We start from the raw sequence: 16,614 nt of genomic DNA on the forward strand, positions 1-16,614 counted from the left end.
AATGCCAGACTTTGTCCTCTGCTTAGCCTAAACCAGAGGTCAGATGTCTCTTGTCGCCAGATGTTGATAAACACAGAGAGGTAAGCTCTTCAGTTACCCTATCACCACCTTACTAATACATATGACTGCAAAACGTTGCCTTCATGTAAGTCAGAATATGAAGGAAAAGCCCCTAATGAATATGATTTCATGAACTTTGGACATAAAAACTCACTTGGTAGTACATTATAATTTTAAATCACATTTAATTCCCTGCCAGCCAGGAAATAATTCCATGGGAAGTCAATCAATGAAAGTTAACAAAATCATTACTAGAAAAAAAGGTAATATTTTTCATTTTCAAAAAGTAAAGGGTTGGGTTGAATGAGAAGTAGATATAGGAGACAGAGCAGCATTCTCAGGTGTTGTTCATGCCCCTGCCATTGTTTTAATTATGGCCTCAATATTCTTTCTCATGGCTGATGGTTGACTTTGGTGAGTAGAAGTAGGTAGTAGCTAAGAATAATCATGAAAAAATAGAACATTTTCTTTAAAAAGGAAAAATTGCCTAATGATATATCAGTTTTGTATCTACAATCACCATAGAACATTTAGGTTATTTGTACTCTATTATCAGGAAAGATTGGGGAAAAGTGGAGTGGCAAAGAGAAATAAAGAAGTATTAATTGGAAACCACCTCAAACATGAGAAAAATAGCCTTTATTTATTTCATTCTGCATCTGCTAGTCTCTGGGCAATCTAAAAAAACAGTCTTCAGAATTATAGCCACATGGTGATTTTTTTCCTCTCCAGAATTACAAGAAAATTGGCTCCCACACTGTGGAACTAAAAAGAGGGGCTATAGGGTGCTGCTTCTCTCTCTTGACATTTTACTTGGTTTTCAAAGGAATTCGTGACTAAGAATCTCATGGAATCTAAATGCGGTCACTGATGGAAATTTAGGTTTCCACAAAGAGTGCAGGAAGAAATTTACATGGCAAAAAAAAAGAAAAGATTTGCTCTGGCAAATGGGTGAGGTAAGGATGTGTGTGTGTGTGTGTGTGTGTGTGTGGTGTATATATGTACACGTCACATACATATATCAGTGAGTATGTATATCTCAATGATTTTCATTTGCTAGGTCTAGTAATACATCTAATTTTTAAAATAACGAGTTTTTTTCCAGCAGTTGTATAAAAATAATTACTTAATTATTGTTTTTCTTTTTCAGCAAGTTTATGAACTTTGGACATATTGAGATTATGTAAGTCCTTGGACAGCATTAATATAATATTATCTAATTTGTAATAAAAGTGTATACCCATTTTATTCATTAAGTATAAATATTTGGAAAGACGATAGATTTTAAGCCAGGTATGGAGTGAACTGACACATTCATCCACAAAAGTCAGATCAAGTTAATGAAAAAAGAGAAGATTGAGGTGTTACTATTCAGTAGTACTTCTTTTTATTTATTACTTTATTCATCAGCACATCCAGGAGAGCTTAATAACTCGCTCTCCTAGAATAAAAATCCTAGTTGGTACTCCCACCATGGCCAATTTTAAGGACAAGGAACACTAAGTTACAAGGAAATGACAATAATCAGTTCTCATTAGATGGTAAGGACAGGTGTGAACACTGTGTTACAGCTAACCAGGAGAAAAAGGAATGTTACGGAACTTAAACTGCTTAGAATGTTGATATAATAAAGGGGGATAGGGAAACAGCAAGCACTGAGGCTGGTGAGCCAGGCAGAAGTCAGAGTGGGAGGAGCCTTGAGGTCTCTCCAGGAGATTCAGGGACCATAGGATTTGGTAGTGATTCAGGTATGGGATGATCATGGCCCTCATCATTGTAGTGACCACAGTATTTTGCAGGAATCCAAAAAACAGATGATAGACATGTCCGTAACCATGATAGTGCCCATGGGATTTTGTAGCTATAGAGTGAAAAGATGACAGTGGCCATATCCAGGGTAATGTCTACGGGAATTTGTGAATATCCAGGTAAGAAATGAGTGTTTCTACTTAGGAATTGAACATGGGATACTGAAGTTATAAAGGTAGGAAATGATGATAAACCTAACAGTGGGGGTGAGCATGGTGTTTTCTAGATATCCAGATAAGAGAGGATGATGGCCCTAACTCGAGTACCAAAATTGGATTTCCTCAGGTAAGCACATAGGAGCTGAAGATGTTTCTTACCATGTTAGTGAACATGGCATTTTGTGCTATTCCAGACATGATGGCGAACCTAACCACAAAATGACCATGAGATTGTCAGGGGTCTAGTAAAGACATGATGGTGCCCTTAACTGTGAAGGTTATGACGAAATTTGTAGGTCAGTAATTAAGAGATGATGCTGATAATAACCACAGTAAGGAGCAGGGGATTTTGCAAGTAACCAGGTAAGAGATGATGGTATCTCTAAAAATATGGTGACCATGGAATTTTGAGGATATCCAATCAAGGAATAATGTGTTACTAGTAATGGTAGTACCAAGGGATTTTACAGTTACCCTGGAAAGAAATGATGTGTCCCTAGCAATGGCATTTAATCTGGGTAATTTGTAGGTCTTCATGTATGGTAGGCTTCTCTAAATCTGGTAGATCTCACGGGCTTCTGTAGGCATCCACATGAGAGATGACGTGACACAAATTGCAACCAATTGCCACCATTGTAACCTAGGTGTTTTATAAGTATCCAGCTTAAAGCTGTAGCTTTATTTATTCCTTGGATGTAAGACTTTCATGTTATCTATTGTTTTCTTTCTTTTTGAAACAGAGTCTGGCTGAGGTAAGTGCTGATGTGGGCCTAAACCACAGCCTGCACCGTGGGACTGTCACAGAGACACAGTTGAGTGATGATGTGTCCCTACAGGCCTTACCACCATTATTTCCTTCATACTTATTCAGGTGAGAAATGATTGAGTCTTGTCTTGGTAAGTGATGATGGTGATGATGGTGTAGGCCTCCCTGTTGTTCCCGATTTCGCTTCAGGTGTCCCTGACATATTCGAAACCGTGAGTTTTCCCTCTGCATATTTCAGAGACAATGCCTAACCCCGTGTTCACAGTGGAACTTTGAATACTTGGTAATTATCCGGTGTTCCTTCCCACAGCAGTGACCATGGACATTTTGCAGGTGTCCTGTAGAGAGAAATGCTGTCTTCTGGGACCACCGCCCTGAGCTTGGGGGCCCCCACTAGCATTCAGGTAAGAGTCCTTCAGTGATGGATGTGAGCATCGTGATTTGCAGGTGTCCTGGTAGAACACCTTGTGTGTTTCTGAGGCATATATCTCAGTATATGTTTTCCAGGTTCCCGGGAGAAAATCCTGAAGAACGGGGGTCATGAGCAGGGGACGTGTCTGCTATCTGGGTAAGTGATTGTGTGCACCATAAACTTACCACGGACAACCTGATCTTCACGTTTGTAGGTCAGTGAGGTTCCTTTCCCTGAACAGTTTACCATGTGATGCGTTTATGGGTATTCCGGTAAGAAAGGGTAGTGGCTCCTCGTTCTCCTTGCCATGTAATCCTATTGTTTTCTGTCTTGGAGAGAACGTATGAGGTAAGTACCCTGTGAGTGCTGATGGATTGGCACGTAACCAGGGAACTCCAGTGGCACTGTGCATCACAGGAGTAACTAAGGTGGATGTGCAGAGAAGACGGCCAGAGAAAATGAAGTGTCCTATGATGTCCTACCCCTTGGAGCAACCACAAGCATCCAGGTAGATTTTTGGCTCCCACAATGATGTTAGTGAGCAGGTGGTTTTCTGGGTCCTGGTGGAAAAGCTGTGTCTGTAGGCAGATTGTAACACATGTGGTTTCACATTCCCTTCCAGAAGTCAAGGGAACCCTCATTATGCTCGAGCAGGGGCACTCTGCCCATATCCAGAGAGGAGACAGTATGGGCGTAAGCAGGCCATGGACGATCCAGTCTTCCGATACACAGGTAATCACCGATGTCATTCCTGCTATTTTTCCTGTCCTGCCATGGGTTTTCTCAGCTCATTTTCTGTTTTTTATTTTCTGCAGTTATTCAGTTAAGAAACAATGCTCTGCCAACCAAGGCTAGTAAGCATTAGTCCTTGCTGTGTTCGACTTTAGGATAATGTGCATTGAACCTGAGTCCGTGTTGACTGTGGTAGATGCGGGTGTCCAGGTGAATTATCCTACTCTACCAGACCACAGGATGGAATGATAGTTCTGACACATCCTCAGTCCAGAGCCGATAGTGGCGCCAACAGTGGGGTGGACGTTGGAGTTCTGCCAGGATCTAGGTAAGGTTGATGGTTCCCGGATGATGGCAGTGACCAGCCTGTGCGGTGCGTGTCTTTTTCGTCTTTCAGGTATGCCAAGTGGCATCCCGGAAAACACCTGTCAGATGCGTTTCTTCTGCTGCTGCTAGTCATGAGATCAAGGTGGGTCTGAGAATGGCCATTCAGAGGCCCTGGATAGTAACCAGGTAATGGATGACACCAGTCCTATGCCAATACAGACCACTTGAACTTCAGATTTCCTGGACAAAGAGGGCACTGTCCTTGACACAGTGTTTTTCCCATGGTTTCCTGCAGGAGTCCCGTAAAGTTCTCTTCCTGTAGAGAGGTAGGAGATGTTGTGGCATTACCTCATGAAAGACATTCTGAATTTCCTGCATGTAGATAGTTAATGATGGTTTAAGTCTGGTAGAGTAACCTTGTGTTTGGCATATGTGTCATTGAGAAAAAATAATTAGTGATTCCCAATGCCAGTAAGCATGAGATTTTACTGTTTGCTTATTCAGAGGTAAGGGCTTTTATTTTTTTTTTTCGGTAAATCTGACCCTCCACGTGAGAAACAGATATGCCAGTGCCCAGGTAGTTGATCATATTGTCTGTCACCCCGATGTGGACTGTGCTGTTTCTCCAGGTATCCCTCGGAGGCTCTGGCTTAGATATTTTCAGTTATCTGGGTAACCTGGATGAGTTGCGAAACGATACCAATGAACAAGAGTATTTGTGGGTGTCCTCGTAGCATAGGTTGTGTACCAAGCAGAGTTTCCCCAATATGTCTTTCAGATGAATGTCAGGGCATCACAGCAGGCCTTTTGAAGCTAGGTAACGTGGGGCATTGCTGGCTGAGGTAAGTGCTGACACAGGCCTAAACCACAGCCCGCAGCATCGTACTGTCACAGAGGCTTATTTCAATGATGATGTGCCCCTACACATCTTCCCGCCATGATTTCTTTTCCATGTATTCAGATGAGAAATGATTCCGTTTTCACCACTCCCAGATAGGCCGGGTTTTCCCATTTTATAAAAGTATATGCTGAACCCTGTGAGTGTTGAGGGATTGCAGGGAGCCAGGTATTTATCGCTGTGTTCCCCACTTCTGTGCTGCCGCTCCGATTTCTAGAGATGTGCAGTTGAGAAACAGTAGTTTTCTGCTGTCAGGGTCGACCTGAGATTACTGCAACTATACACATCGAGTGGGTGTGTCCCATAAAGATGGAAATAAACATGGGACTTTGTGGGAGTCTTTGCAGAAAACCCCCTGTCTTTTTACACATATGTATTGGTGCCTCTTTCAGATTCCTGCTATGACATCACAGTGAATCCAACATGGGTCCCTATCAGGAAGCAGGGCTGCTCTGCAGGTCAAGGCTGCATGAGGACCCAAAGCAACACATGGGCCACTTGAAGTTCAGGTGTATAGGTAAGTGAGGATGGTGTCCATACTTCCTGTTGTTCCCATGATTTCACCTCAGGTGTCCTGGTCAGAAATGACAAATGTCCCTGGCACACTAGAAACCGTGAGATTTCCCTCTGCATATTTCAGAGACAATGTCTAACCCAGTGAGCACAGTGGGACTGCAAATACCAGGTAATGATCTTGGGGTTCCCAGCCACAGCGATTACGCTGGACATTTTGCAGGTGTCTTGTAGAGAGAAATGCTGTTTTCTGGGCCTGCAGCCCTGAGCTTAGGGGGTCCCACCAGCATCCAAGTAAGAGTCCTTCAACGATGGATGCGAGCATTGTGATTTGCATGTGTCCTGTTAGAACACTTTGTGTGTTTCTGAGGCATATATCTCAGTGTAGGTTTTCCAGGGTCCCACAAGGAAATCCCGATAAACAGGAGTCAGGATCAGGGAACACGTCTGCTATCTGGGTAAGTGATGGTGTTCATGGTAAACTCACCACACACCAGGCGATCTCCACATACCTAGGTAAGCAAGGTTCCTTTGCCTGAAGGGTTTATCATGTGATGGGTTAACAGGTATTTTGGTAAGAAAGGGTAGCGGCTCTCCGTTCTCCTCGCCATGTGATCCTATTGATTTCTACCCTGGAAAGAATGTATGATGTATGTGGTCTGTGAGGGCTGATTGATTGTCACATACCCAGGGAACTCATGTGGCATTGTGCATCACAGGAGTAACTGTGGTGGATTTGCAGGGAAACTGGCCAGGGAAAAATAGTGTGTCCTACAATGGCCTAGACCCTGGAGGGCCTGCAAGCATCCAAATACATTTTTGACTCCCACAGTGATTATACTGAGCAAGGCGGTTTGCAGGATCCTGATGGAAAAGCTGTGTCTGTTGAGCCATTGATCACACTTGCAGTTTCAGGTTCAGGCAGGCAGAAGTCAGAGCATGAGGACAACATTGAGGTCTCTCCAGGCGATTTATGGACTCTCGGATTTGGTAGTGATTCAGGTACGAGATGATCATGGCTCTCATCATTGTAGTGACCATGGTATTTTGAAGGAATGCAAAAACAGATGATGGGCCCGTCCCTGACCATGGTAGTGCCCATGGGATTTTTTAGCTATAGAATGAAAAGATGACAATGACCATCTCCATGGTAATGTCTGAAATTTTTAAAATATCCAGGTAACAAATGAATGTTTCTGCTTAGGAAGTGAACATAGAATACTGAAGTTACAGAGTTAAGAAATGATGATAAACTTCACCATGGGGGTGACCATGATATTTTCTAGATATCGAGATAAGTGAGGATGGTGACCCTAACTTGACTACCAAAATTGAGTTTGCTCAGGTAGGCATGAAGGAGCTGATGATGCCGCTTCCCATGTTAGTGAATATGACATTTTGTGGTATTCCAGATATGATGGCGAACCTAATCACAAAATAACCATGAGATCATGAGATTGTCAGGGGTCTAGTAAAAAGATGGTGGTCCCCTTAACCATGAAAGTTATGATGAAATTTTGTAAGCCAGTAATTAAGAGATCACAGAGATCCTAACCGTGATACTGAACAAGGAATTTTGCAAATCACCAGGTAAGAGATGATTGTGTCTCTAAAAATGTGGTGACCGTGGGATTTTGCAGATATCCAATTAAGGAATAATGTGTTCCTAGAAATTGTAGTACCAAGGTATTCAGCAGTTACCCAGGAAAGAAATGGTATGTCCCTAGCAATGGCATTTAATCTGGGTAATTTGTAGGTCTCCATGTATGGTAGGTTTTTCTAAATCTGATAGATCTCATGGGCTTCTGTAGGCATCCGCATGAGAGATGATATGTCATAAATTGTAAGTAACTGCCACTACCGTAACCAAAGTATTTTATAAGTGTCCAGCTAAGAGCTCTGGCTTTATGTATTTGTTGGATTTATGACCATTTTTTTCTGTGTTTTCATAGTTTTTTTTCTTTTTTTGAGAGTCTGGCTGAGGTATTGCTGATGCACGCATAAACCACAGCATGCACCATGGGACTGTCCCAGGGACCTGGTTCACTGATGAGATGTCCCCACACGTCTTCCCGCCGTGATTTCTTTCACAGGTACTCAGCTGAGAAATGATTGAGTCCTTACCAATCCCAGATTGGCCAGGTTTTCCCATTTTCTGTTTCAACAAAAGTGTATGCTGAAACCTGTGAGTGTAGAGGGATTGCAGGGAGTCAGGTATTTATCACTGTATTCCCCGCCCCCGTGCTGCCCCTAGGATGTCTACAGGTGAACAGTCGAGAAACGGTGGTTTTCTGCTATCAGGGTCGACCTGAGATTACTGCAAGTATCCAGGTCGAGTGGGTGTGTCCCCAAAAGATGGAAATCAAGGTTATTTGTAGGAGTGCTGGTGGAAAACCCCATGTCCTTCTACACATGTGTCTTCTACACATCTGATTTTGCAAGCTGCCAGAGAAGATATGATGGTGTCTCTAAAAATGTCTAAACATGTGGTGACCACGGGATTTTGCAGATAACCAGTTAAGTAATAATGTGTCACTAGAAATGGTAGTCCCAAGGTATTTAACAGTTTTTCAGTCACCCAGGAAAGAAATGATGTGTCCTTAGCAATGGCATTTAATTTGGTTAATTTGTAGGTCTCCATGTCTGGTAGGTATTTCTATATCTGGTTGATCTCCTGGGCTTCTGTAGGCATCCACATGAGAGATGATGTGTCACAAATTGTAACCAAGTGCCAAGGTATTTTACAAGTATCTCACTTAAAGCTCTGGTGAATATAAGTTTTTGAAGATACCCAGTAGGGAATGATGTTGGCCTAAGCCGTGGTAATGCCCACGAGTAGTGCCCATATCTTGGTAACAGGTGGTGTGTGTCTAATTATGGTTGTCACCATGGTTTTTTTGCAAATTCCAGCAACATAATGAAGACAATCTTAACCGCTCTTATGAATATAGGATTTCGCAAGAATTGAGGAAAGAAATAATGTGGGCTTTAACCAAGTAGACATGATTAGATTTTGGGGATTTCTAAATAAGTGATCACGGTGTCCCTAACCATGGGATTTTGCAGGTTGTAGTCAATAGGTGATGATGAATTTAACAGTAGGCGCAAACATGGGATTTCTTGATACCCAGGTAAGACATGATGTGGTCCTTAAACATATTACAGACCATATGATTTTTTAGATACCTAGATAAGCAATAATATATCCTGAAATCTTGATGTTACCTTTTTTTTTTCCCATTTAAAAAGTCGCTCATTCTCAAATATTTGTGCAGGGCTGATTTCAGAGTATAAGAATGCACCAGCGGTTGGCCCAGTGACTCACGCTTTAATCCCTACACTTTCGGAGGCCGAGGCGGGCAGATCACTTTAGGTCAGGAGTTCGAGACCAGCCTGGCCAACATAGTGAAACCCTGTCTCTACTAAAAGTACAAAATTTAGCCGGGCGTCCTTGTACATGCCTGTAGTCCCAGCTAGTCGGGAGGCTGAGGCACGAGAATCACTTGAACCCAGAAGGCAGATGTTGCAGTGAGCCGAGGTTGGGCCACTGCAGTCCAGACTGGGCGACAGAGCGTCTTTGCCCCCATCACCCCACCCCCAAACAAAGAAAGAGTAATGCACCAGAGTCATGAAATAATGATCTTACCACAGAGGGCGTAAAAAACAAAACCTCAGAAAATATTACCATATTTCGAAAGACTTGTGGAAAATAATTAAGGACCAGGTAGCAGAAATTGTGATCAGAGGAAATAACATAAGAATATACTTAAGCGCACAGTACATAGTTGGAGGGAGAACTGTTTATCCTTCTAAAACCGTTACTATGATCAACACAGACAAGAGACACTTCCCTGAAAGGTTAAATTGTTTCATGAGAAATAAAAGCAACCAAAATGAGCCACATTATCTACAATAGAAGAGACTATATGGAAAAAGTTCTATGGCAAGAGCTAATTCGTTGGTATACAAAAAGATCCATGAAAAATGACCCAATTTTAGACACATTAGATATTGCAGGCTCAAAAATCAAAGGAACATTTTGAAAGCTAATTTAAATTTAATTAATTGCTGAATGTCTCCTTGGCTAGTAGTTGAACGATCATTATTTAGTCCCACATCTCTCTCGTCATTTTGTTTGCAAACTGTCTAAAAGCCTTATTTCCTCATCTCTTTGACAGATGACCAAAATGGATCCTACAGTATAATCACACAGGATAATGTTGGAAAGTATGACTATCTAAATTATTTTTAAAGGCATTATTTTTCCCCTTTGATTTTCAAATTCTTTCTCATAATTTCTAAAATGGTGTCGACAGCGGCCTGTACTGTGCCTTCACTGATGTCATCACTGAGATCACTCTCAATTGCTCTCGAACTTGTTGTTGGCCTTTCGTGTAGGTATGAACTGTGGCCCGGCAGATCTGACTGTTGTTGCTGCTGCTTCTGTTCCTGCTGATGCTTTTCAAAATAGTCTTCTTTTATTTTCTTCGGCTGTTCTGAAGCAGGAGTTACACATGATGTCTTTGGAAGATCTTGCGATGTGTTTCCGGAACTACCTTGCATGCTTAACTCAATAGTACTGCGGAGATGTTCATCTTCTCTATTGGTTTCTTGGCGGCTTAGTTCAAGGGCCCTCTGAAAATCCTCCTCATCTTGGTCTGATGTTCCAGACTCATCACTTTCTTCTGATACTTTTTCAAGGACTGTTTTATAGACTCTATGCTCTTTTTGTTTTACTAATTTTTTTCCATTAAGTTTTGGTGTATCCATCTCTTCGACACTGATGATCTGCAGGAGTTGGTCAGCTTCACAGTCTGGCAGATCACCCTTGACAACAAATACAGAATATGCTTGTTGTTGTAATCGAGCCAAGAAATTTGCAAGGCATGTATCTGATATTAATTCTGGACCCGCCAAGAGAGAATTCAAGTTAAACCAGTGTTTTCCAAATTTTCTAATAGTAAACCAGTGTTGTTTATAATTACATATAAAAGATCTTTCATTTATAGGATCAATGCCGAGCTTCTGATATTCAGGATTATTGAAATGGATGATCTCTAAACCCCAGAACTTCAAGGCATTGCTTATTACCTGAATGGAGAAGAAACCGGTATCATCCATGTTTTCTGAAGGCTGCTGTAAAAATGCAAGATACTCTTCACTGGTGACTCCTCCTTCTGCCATTCTCATCCTCTCTTCTTCATCTAGCTGATGTGCAATTGAGGCTAATTCCACAGGGCTAAAATATTCTCCTTGCAATAGATTGTTCAGACAGTGCTGAGCACACAGGAAACCTTCCTGTTTCTCATGAAAGATGAAATCCATGTTAATTGTATCCGTGAGTTTCTGTAGGTATGCCGGAAGATGTTGTATGCCCAGCTATGGCAGTTACCTGGGCAGTTTGTGGATAGCCATGTAACAGATGTTAGGTTTTCAAACCTTATGAAGACCATGGGTTTTTGCAGGTATTCAGGTAAGAGATGGTATGTCACAAAGCACTATTGTGACCAAGGTGGTTTTGCCAGTATCCAGTCAAAAGCTGATGGTAAACCTAAAGTGAATATGGGATTTTGGAGTTATCCCATAGATGATAATGGTGACTTGCACCATAGTAGTGCCCGTTGGAATTTCAGATGTCCTATAAAAATAATGTCTCTCTAATTATGCTTGTCAGCATGGTTTTAGTAAGTAAATAAAGGTGAAATTTACCACAGCACTAAACAGAAGATTTGGCAGGTAACTGGGAGAGAAATAACATGGGCTTTAACCGAATGGACACCATGGGATTTTGGAACTGTCTGGCTAAGTTATCATGATGTCACTGACCACAATAATAGCCATAGAATTTTGTAGGTTCCAGTCAATAGATGACAATAAAACTCACAGTGGCAATGAAGATGGGACTTTGCTGGTATCCTAGTTAGAGATTATGTGGACCTGAAAAACATGAGTGACCAAATGATCTTCAGACATCTAGAAAACTGATGATGATGTCCTGAACTCTTTTCTTATCCATGTGTTTTTACAGGTGTTCAGGTAAGAAATGTATGTGCCTAACAAAAGTAGTAACCATTAGATTTTACTGTTTTCTAGTTCAGAGACAATCTTTCTCAAACTTAGTAGTGACAAAGATATTAGCAGGTATCCGGGTAAGATATCACAGAGTTCCTCACCACAGTAGTAACTATGGGATTTTTGCAGGAGTCCAGTGAACAGACAGTGTGTGAAACTACTATGTTGACCTTGGACTTCTCTTGAGTGTCCAAGTACACTTAGTGGTTGCCCTAATGATTATAGTGAGTGTATGCATGGAATTATCAGGGGTCCAGATGGAAGGACATGTATCCTGACCAGGGTTGCCACCATATGTTTTCTCAGCAGGTAGTCAAGAGATGATGGTGTCTCTAACTACAACATTGGCCTCAGAACCTTAAGATTCAGGTAGAGTTCATGGTTCCCCTAACAATACTAGTCACCATGGGATTTTTTGAGGTGCGTATAGAAGATGTATCCCTAACCACTACTGCTGCCATATGGTTTTGCAAGCTCCTATCAAGAGATAATGGTGAAACTCATATTAGTCATTTTTGTAGGAATTTCATGGAATCTAGCTAAGTGATTATGTGGACCTTAAACACAGTACAGACCATCTGCTCTTCAGACATCGAGGTAAGTGACGATGATGTCCTCAACATGTGTTGGTATCATGTGTTTTGCAGGTATTCGGGTAAAAAAAAATGATACGGGCTCTACCAATAAGTATTGGAATCCATGAGCTTTAGCTTAACCAGTTTTCTAGTTTAGAGATATTGTGTGTTTAACTTTAGGAGTGAATGAGGGATTTTCAGGTATCTAGGCAAGTGATCATAACTTTCTTCACCACAGTAATGACCTTGAGATTTTTATAGATGCCCAGACAATAAATGACGGTGCCTGTACCAATGTGTTGACCTTCAGGTTCTGCCAATATCCAGGTAGCATTAATGGGTTTGTAAAGATGGAAGTGACAAAAGTTATTTGCAGATGTTCTGCTAGAAAAAGTTGCATTCTTAAACACATCTGTCACAATATGTTTTTTCAGGTTTCAGTCTAAAGATCAAGGTAACCCTAACAACGGGGATTAACATGGAGCTTTGCTGGTATCCAGGCAAGTGATGATGTGGGTCTTATCACACGGTAGACATTGTGACCTTCAGAAGTTTACATAAGTGATGATGATACCTCTAACATTTGTGTTACCGTGTTTTTTTGGGTTTTTGCAGATATTCAGGTAAGAAATTATAGTGTTCCCATAATTCCTATTTAATAATACACCCTTGCTGCTTACTAGTGCAGAGATAATGTTTTGAAATCTGGCTATGACTGAGGGATTTGTAAGTTTCCAAGTAAATTATCGTACTGTTTCTCATCTCAGTATTGACTATGGTATTTTTACAGGTACCCAGTCAAGAGATTATGACATATCCATGGTTTTGACCTGGATATTCTGCAAGTATCAAGGTAAAGTTGATGGTTCTCCTACTGCTAGTGATTCTCATGAGATGTGTCATGGTCTAAATAGAAAAAGACGTATCTCTAACCATGGGCTGCCTTTATGGGTTTTTTAGGTGCTGTCAGTGGATGGTGGTGAAACTAACAATGATAGTGAACATGGACTTAGCTAAAAGAGAGGGAAAAGATGGTGTGAGCCTTTACACTTTGGAGAGCTTCAGATTTCAGTTATCTCGGTAAGCGTTGATGGTGCCTGTAATACTGTGGTTACAAGAATGTTGTTTTTATCAAGAGGCATTCAGGTAAGGTCAGTGCTAATATAAAGGTGAGAAACCATGTGGCATTTATACACTAGAGACCTGAATTTCAGATATCTGGGAAATTGATGATGGTGATCATAACTGTAATAGTTACCTGGTTTGGTACAGGTTTGCAGGGAAGAAATGAACTTGCTCCCCTAGTAAGAGTAAGCATGAGATTTAAAAAAAAATTTTAGTGACAATTTGTACTTAACCCTAGTAGCAGTTGAGAAACCTGCAGGTATCCAGGTAAGATATCACACTGTCTGTCACCCCACTAGTGACCATGGGATTTTTGCAGGTATTTCTTCAAAGGAGAGAGGTGTCTTTATTAGGGTTTAACTTCACACCTCTGGAACTATCGATGTAGCATTGATGAGTCACAAAAAGAAGTGATCAAGGGTATTTGCAGGTGTCCAGGTATTATAAGAGGTGTATGCTTTTCAGGTTCCTTTCATGAGATTATAGTGAGCTTAACAATGGCCATTAATGGTGGACATTATGAGTATGTGGTAAGTGATGAGGTGTGCTTAATGCACAGCTGAAAATATTTGACCTTGGCATAAGAAGGTAAGTGATGAAAGTGCCCCTAACGGTTGTTACAATGTTTGCTCGCTTGTTTGTTTTGAAGATATTGAGATAAGAAACCATAGTCCTTACCAGTGTTAGGAACCATGAGTTCTTAGTTTTACATATTTTAGAAAATGTATTGTTAACCCCATGGGCACTGAGTCATTGCCATATCCAGATAATTTTCATGGTGTTCCTCACCACAGTAGTAACCATGGGATTTTTGCAGACATCCAGTCAAGAAACAGTGGCTTCATCTGGCAACATTGTTCACCTTGAGTAGTGCAAATGTCCAGCTAGAGTGTATATGTCCCATAATGATGGAAGTGACAAAAGTTATTTGCAAGCATCATGCTTAAAAAAGTGTCTTTTCACACATATTTCAAAACATGTTTTTCAAATTCCTGTCAAGAGATGGTGGTGAACCTAACAATGGTTGTTAACATGGTAGGTGTTGATGTGGGTCTTTCACACTACAGAACATCTAATCTGCACATACCTAGGTCAGTGATGATGGTGTCCCTAGTACTTGTATTACCATGTTTTTATTTTCAGCTATCAGGCAAGGGCTTTACTAGTATAGAGGTAAGAACTAATACGACTTTTATGTAGTAGAGACCTTCCTATTTTGAGATATCCTGGTAATTAACAGTGGTGCTGAGAACTCTGATACTAATCTTGTTTTTTGGCTGGTTTGCATAGAGGAAATTAGTTTTGTCTAACAGTATAAATAAGCATGAGATTTTACTTTATTGTTATGTAGAGCTAATGTGTATTTAATAATCCTAGTGTTAGATGGACATGTAGGTATCCAGCTAATTTATCCTATTTTTCATCACCACATAATGACCATGGGATTTCTGCAGGTATCCATGTAAGAGAGGAAAGTGTCTCTTACTAGATTTTGACATTGGAGTTCTGCAAATGTTCAAGTAATGTTGATGGGTCCCAAAATGACAGAAATGACCAGGGGAATGTGCAGGTGACCAGGTATAATCAGATGTATATCAAATATAACATTTTTCGTAATGTGTTTTTCAGGATTCTGTCAGGAGATTATGGTGAGCCCAACAGTGGTAGTTGATGTGGGACACTGCTGGAATATAGGTAACTGATGTGGTAAGTTTAAATCACAGCAAGTCTACTTGATTTTCCTATATCTAGGTAAGTGATTAATGATGTCCCAAATACTTGTTACTGTGTTTGTTTCTTTTTTCTTTATGTATTCAGTGATGAAAAGTTCTTACTAGTAATAGAACCCATGAGTTCTTTCTTTTTACCTTTTAGGGAAAATTTCTTTAACTTTGTGAGTATTGAGGGATTGTCACAGTAATTACCATTGTGTTTCCCACTGCATTCGTAATCATGGGATCTTTGCAGTTATCCAGTCAAGAAATTATGGTCTTATCTGAAATGGTGTTTACCTTGATGTACTACAAATATTCAAGTAGAGATGATGTGTCCAGTAATATTGGAAGTAACTAAGGTTAGTTGACAGCATCCTCATAGAAAATAAATTGTGTCCTTTAACATGTATTTTCTAAAGTGTTTTTCATGTTCCTGTCAAGAGAGCATGGGGAACCTAAAGACGGTGGTTAACATGGGACGTTGCTGGTGTCCAGGTAAGTGATGATGTGAGCCATAGTGGTATTGTTGGCTTCTACTTAGTGTTGTCAGCTTTTGTTTTTTTTTAAAGTATTCAAGTACGAAATGATAATCTCGTTACTGTTACTATTAACTATGTTGTTTGTTTTATATATTAATGTAAACTTATGTTTAGCCTAGTGAGTGTTGGATTTGCAGAAATCTAAGTAATTCTTATGATGTCCTGCTTGTCAGATGTAACCCCGGGACTTCTGGAAGTGTGCAGTGAACAGAAAGTGTTTTCACTAACAGTAGTGCAGACCATAGAATACTACAAGTAATCAGGTAGAATTGATGGGTCCTGCAATGGAGGAAGCCACCAACTTTGTCCATAGCTGTTCAGGAGGAAAAAATTGTGTGCATAGGAACATTTGTAAAAATTTGTTCTTCAGGTTTCAGTCCAGAGAACATGATGAACTTCAAAATGGTCATTCACAGGGATTCACCTGGTGCCCAGGTAAGTGCTGATGTGAGCCTAAACCACAGTACAGGCCATCTGATCTTAGGCCATCTGATCTTCATGTATATAGGTAATGATGGTGTCACATTTTTTTGACTATGTGTTTATCGCAACTATTCAGCTAAGCATGAGATAGCCCTTAACAATATGAGGAACCATGAATTTTCACTTTTTTATTCTGTAGAGAATGTATGCTCAACCCTTTTAGTGATGAAGAACTGCACATGTCTAGATAACTATCGTGGTGCTCCTCCTCCACTAGTAGCCATGGGAATTTTGAGATTATAGTCAGGAAATGATGTTTTTATCTGGCAACAGCACTTCCTTGGAGTACTTCAGATATTCAGGTAGAGTAGATGGTTTCTGCATGATGGCAGTTATCAAGGTTATTTTCAGGCATCCTGATAGAAAAGGTTGTGTTCTTCAACACATATCTCAAATTATGCTTTTCAGATGCCTATCCAGAGATCACAAA

At 40.6% G+C, this 16,614-nt stretch overlaps 1 protein-coding gene and 1 long non-coding RNA gene across 3 annotated transcripts; one reads left to right on the top strand and one right to left on the bottom strand.

The window, feature by feature from the left end:
- The first annotated feature begins 1,717 nt into the window (after window positions 1-1,717).
- Window positions 1,718-10,999, top strand: GS1-600G8.3 (unknown transcript). Its single transcript, NR_046087.1, has 17 exons — window positions 1,718-1,808; window positions 1,922-1,988; window positions 2,096-2,154; window positions 2,768-2,779; window positions 2,899-2,924; window positions 3,127-3,197; window positions 3,301-3,713; window positions 3,828-3,937; window positions 4,093-4,147; window positions 4,335-4,406; window positions 5,555-5,679; window positions 6,064-6,133; window positions 6,591-6,677; window positions 7,628-7,768; window positions 9,854-9,902; window positions 10,074-10,559; window positions 10,685-10,999. It is a non-coding gene; the product is annotated as an unknown transcript (long non-coding RNA).
- Window positions 9,713-11,119, bottom strand: ATXN3L (ataxin 3 like). 2 transcript variants are annotated; one of them, NM_001387036.1, is made up of 2 exons: window positions 10,767-11,119; window positions 9,713-10,502 (listed from the first exon to the last, which is right to left on the bottom strand). In NM_001387036.1, exons 1-2 carry the CDS (start codon window positions 10,998-11,000, stop codon window positions 9,933-9,935), a joined length of 804 nt encoding a protein of 267 aa, NP_001373965.1. In that variant the 5' UTR covers window positions 11,001-11,119; the 3' UTR covers window positions 9,713-9,932. The 2 variants fall into 2 exon arrangements, with proteins under 2 accessions (NP_001373965.1, NP_001129467.1); NM_001135995.2 differs by having other exon boundaries at window positions 9,713-11,119.

Source organism: Homo sapiens, chromosome X, assembly GCF_000001405.40.
Source record: "Homo sapiens chromosome X, GRCh38.p14 Primary Assembly".
Taxonomy (NCBI): domain Eukaryota; kingdom Metazoa; phylum Chordata; class Mammalia; order Primates; family Hominidae; genus Homo; species Homo sapiens.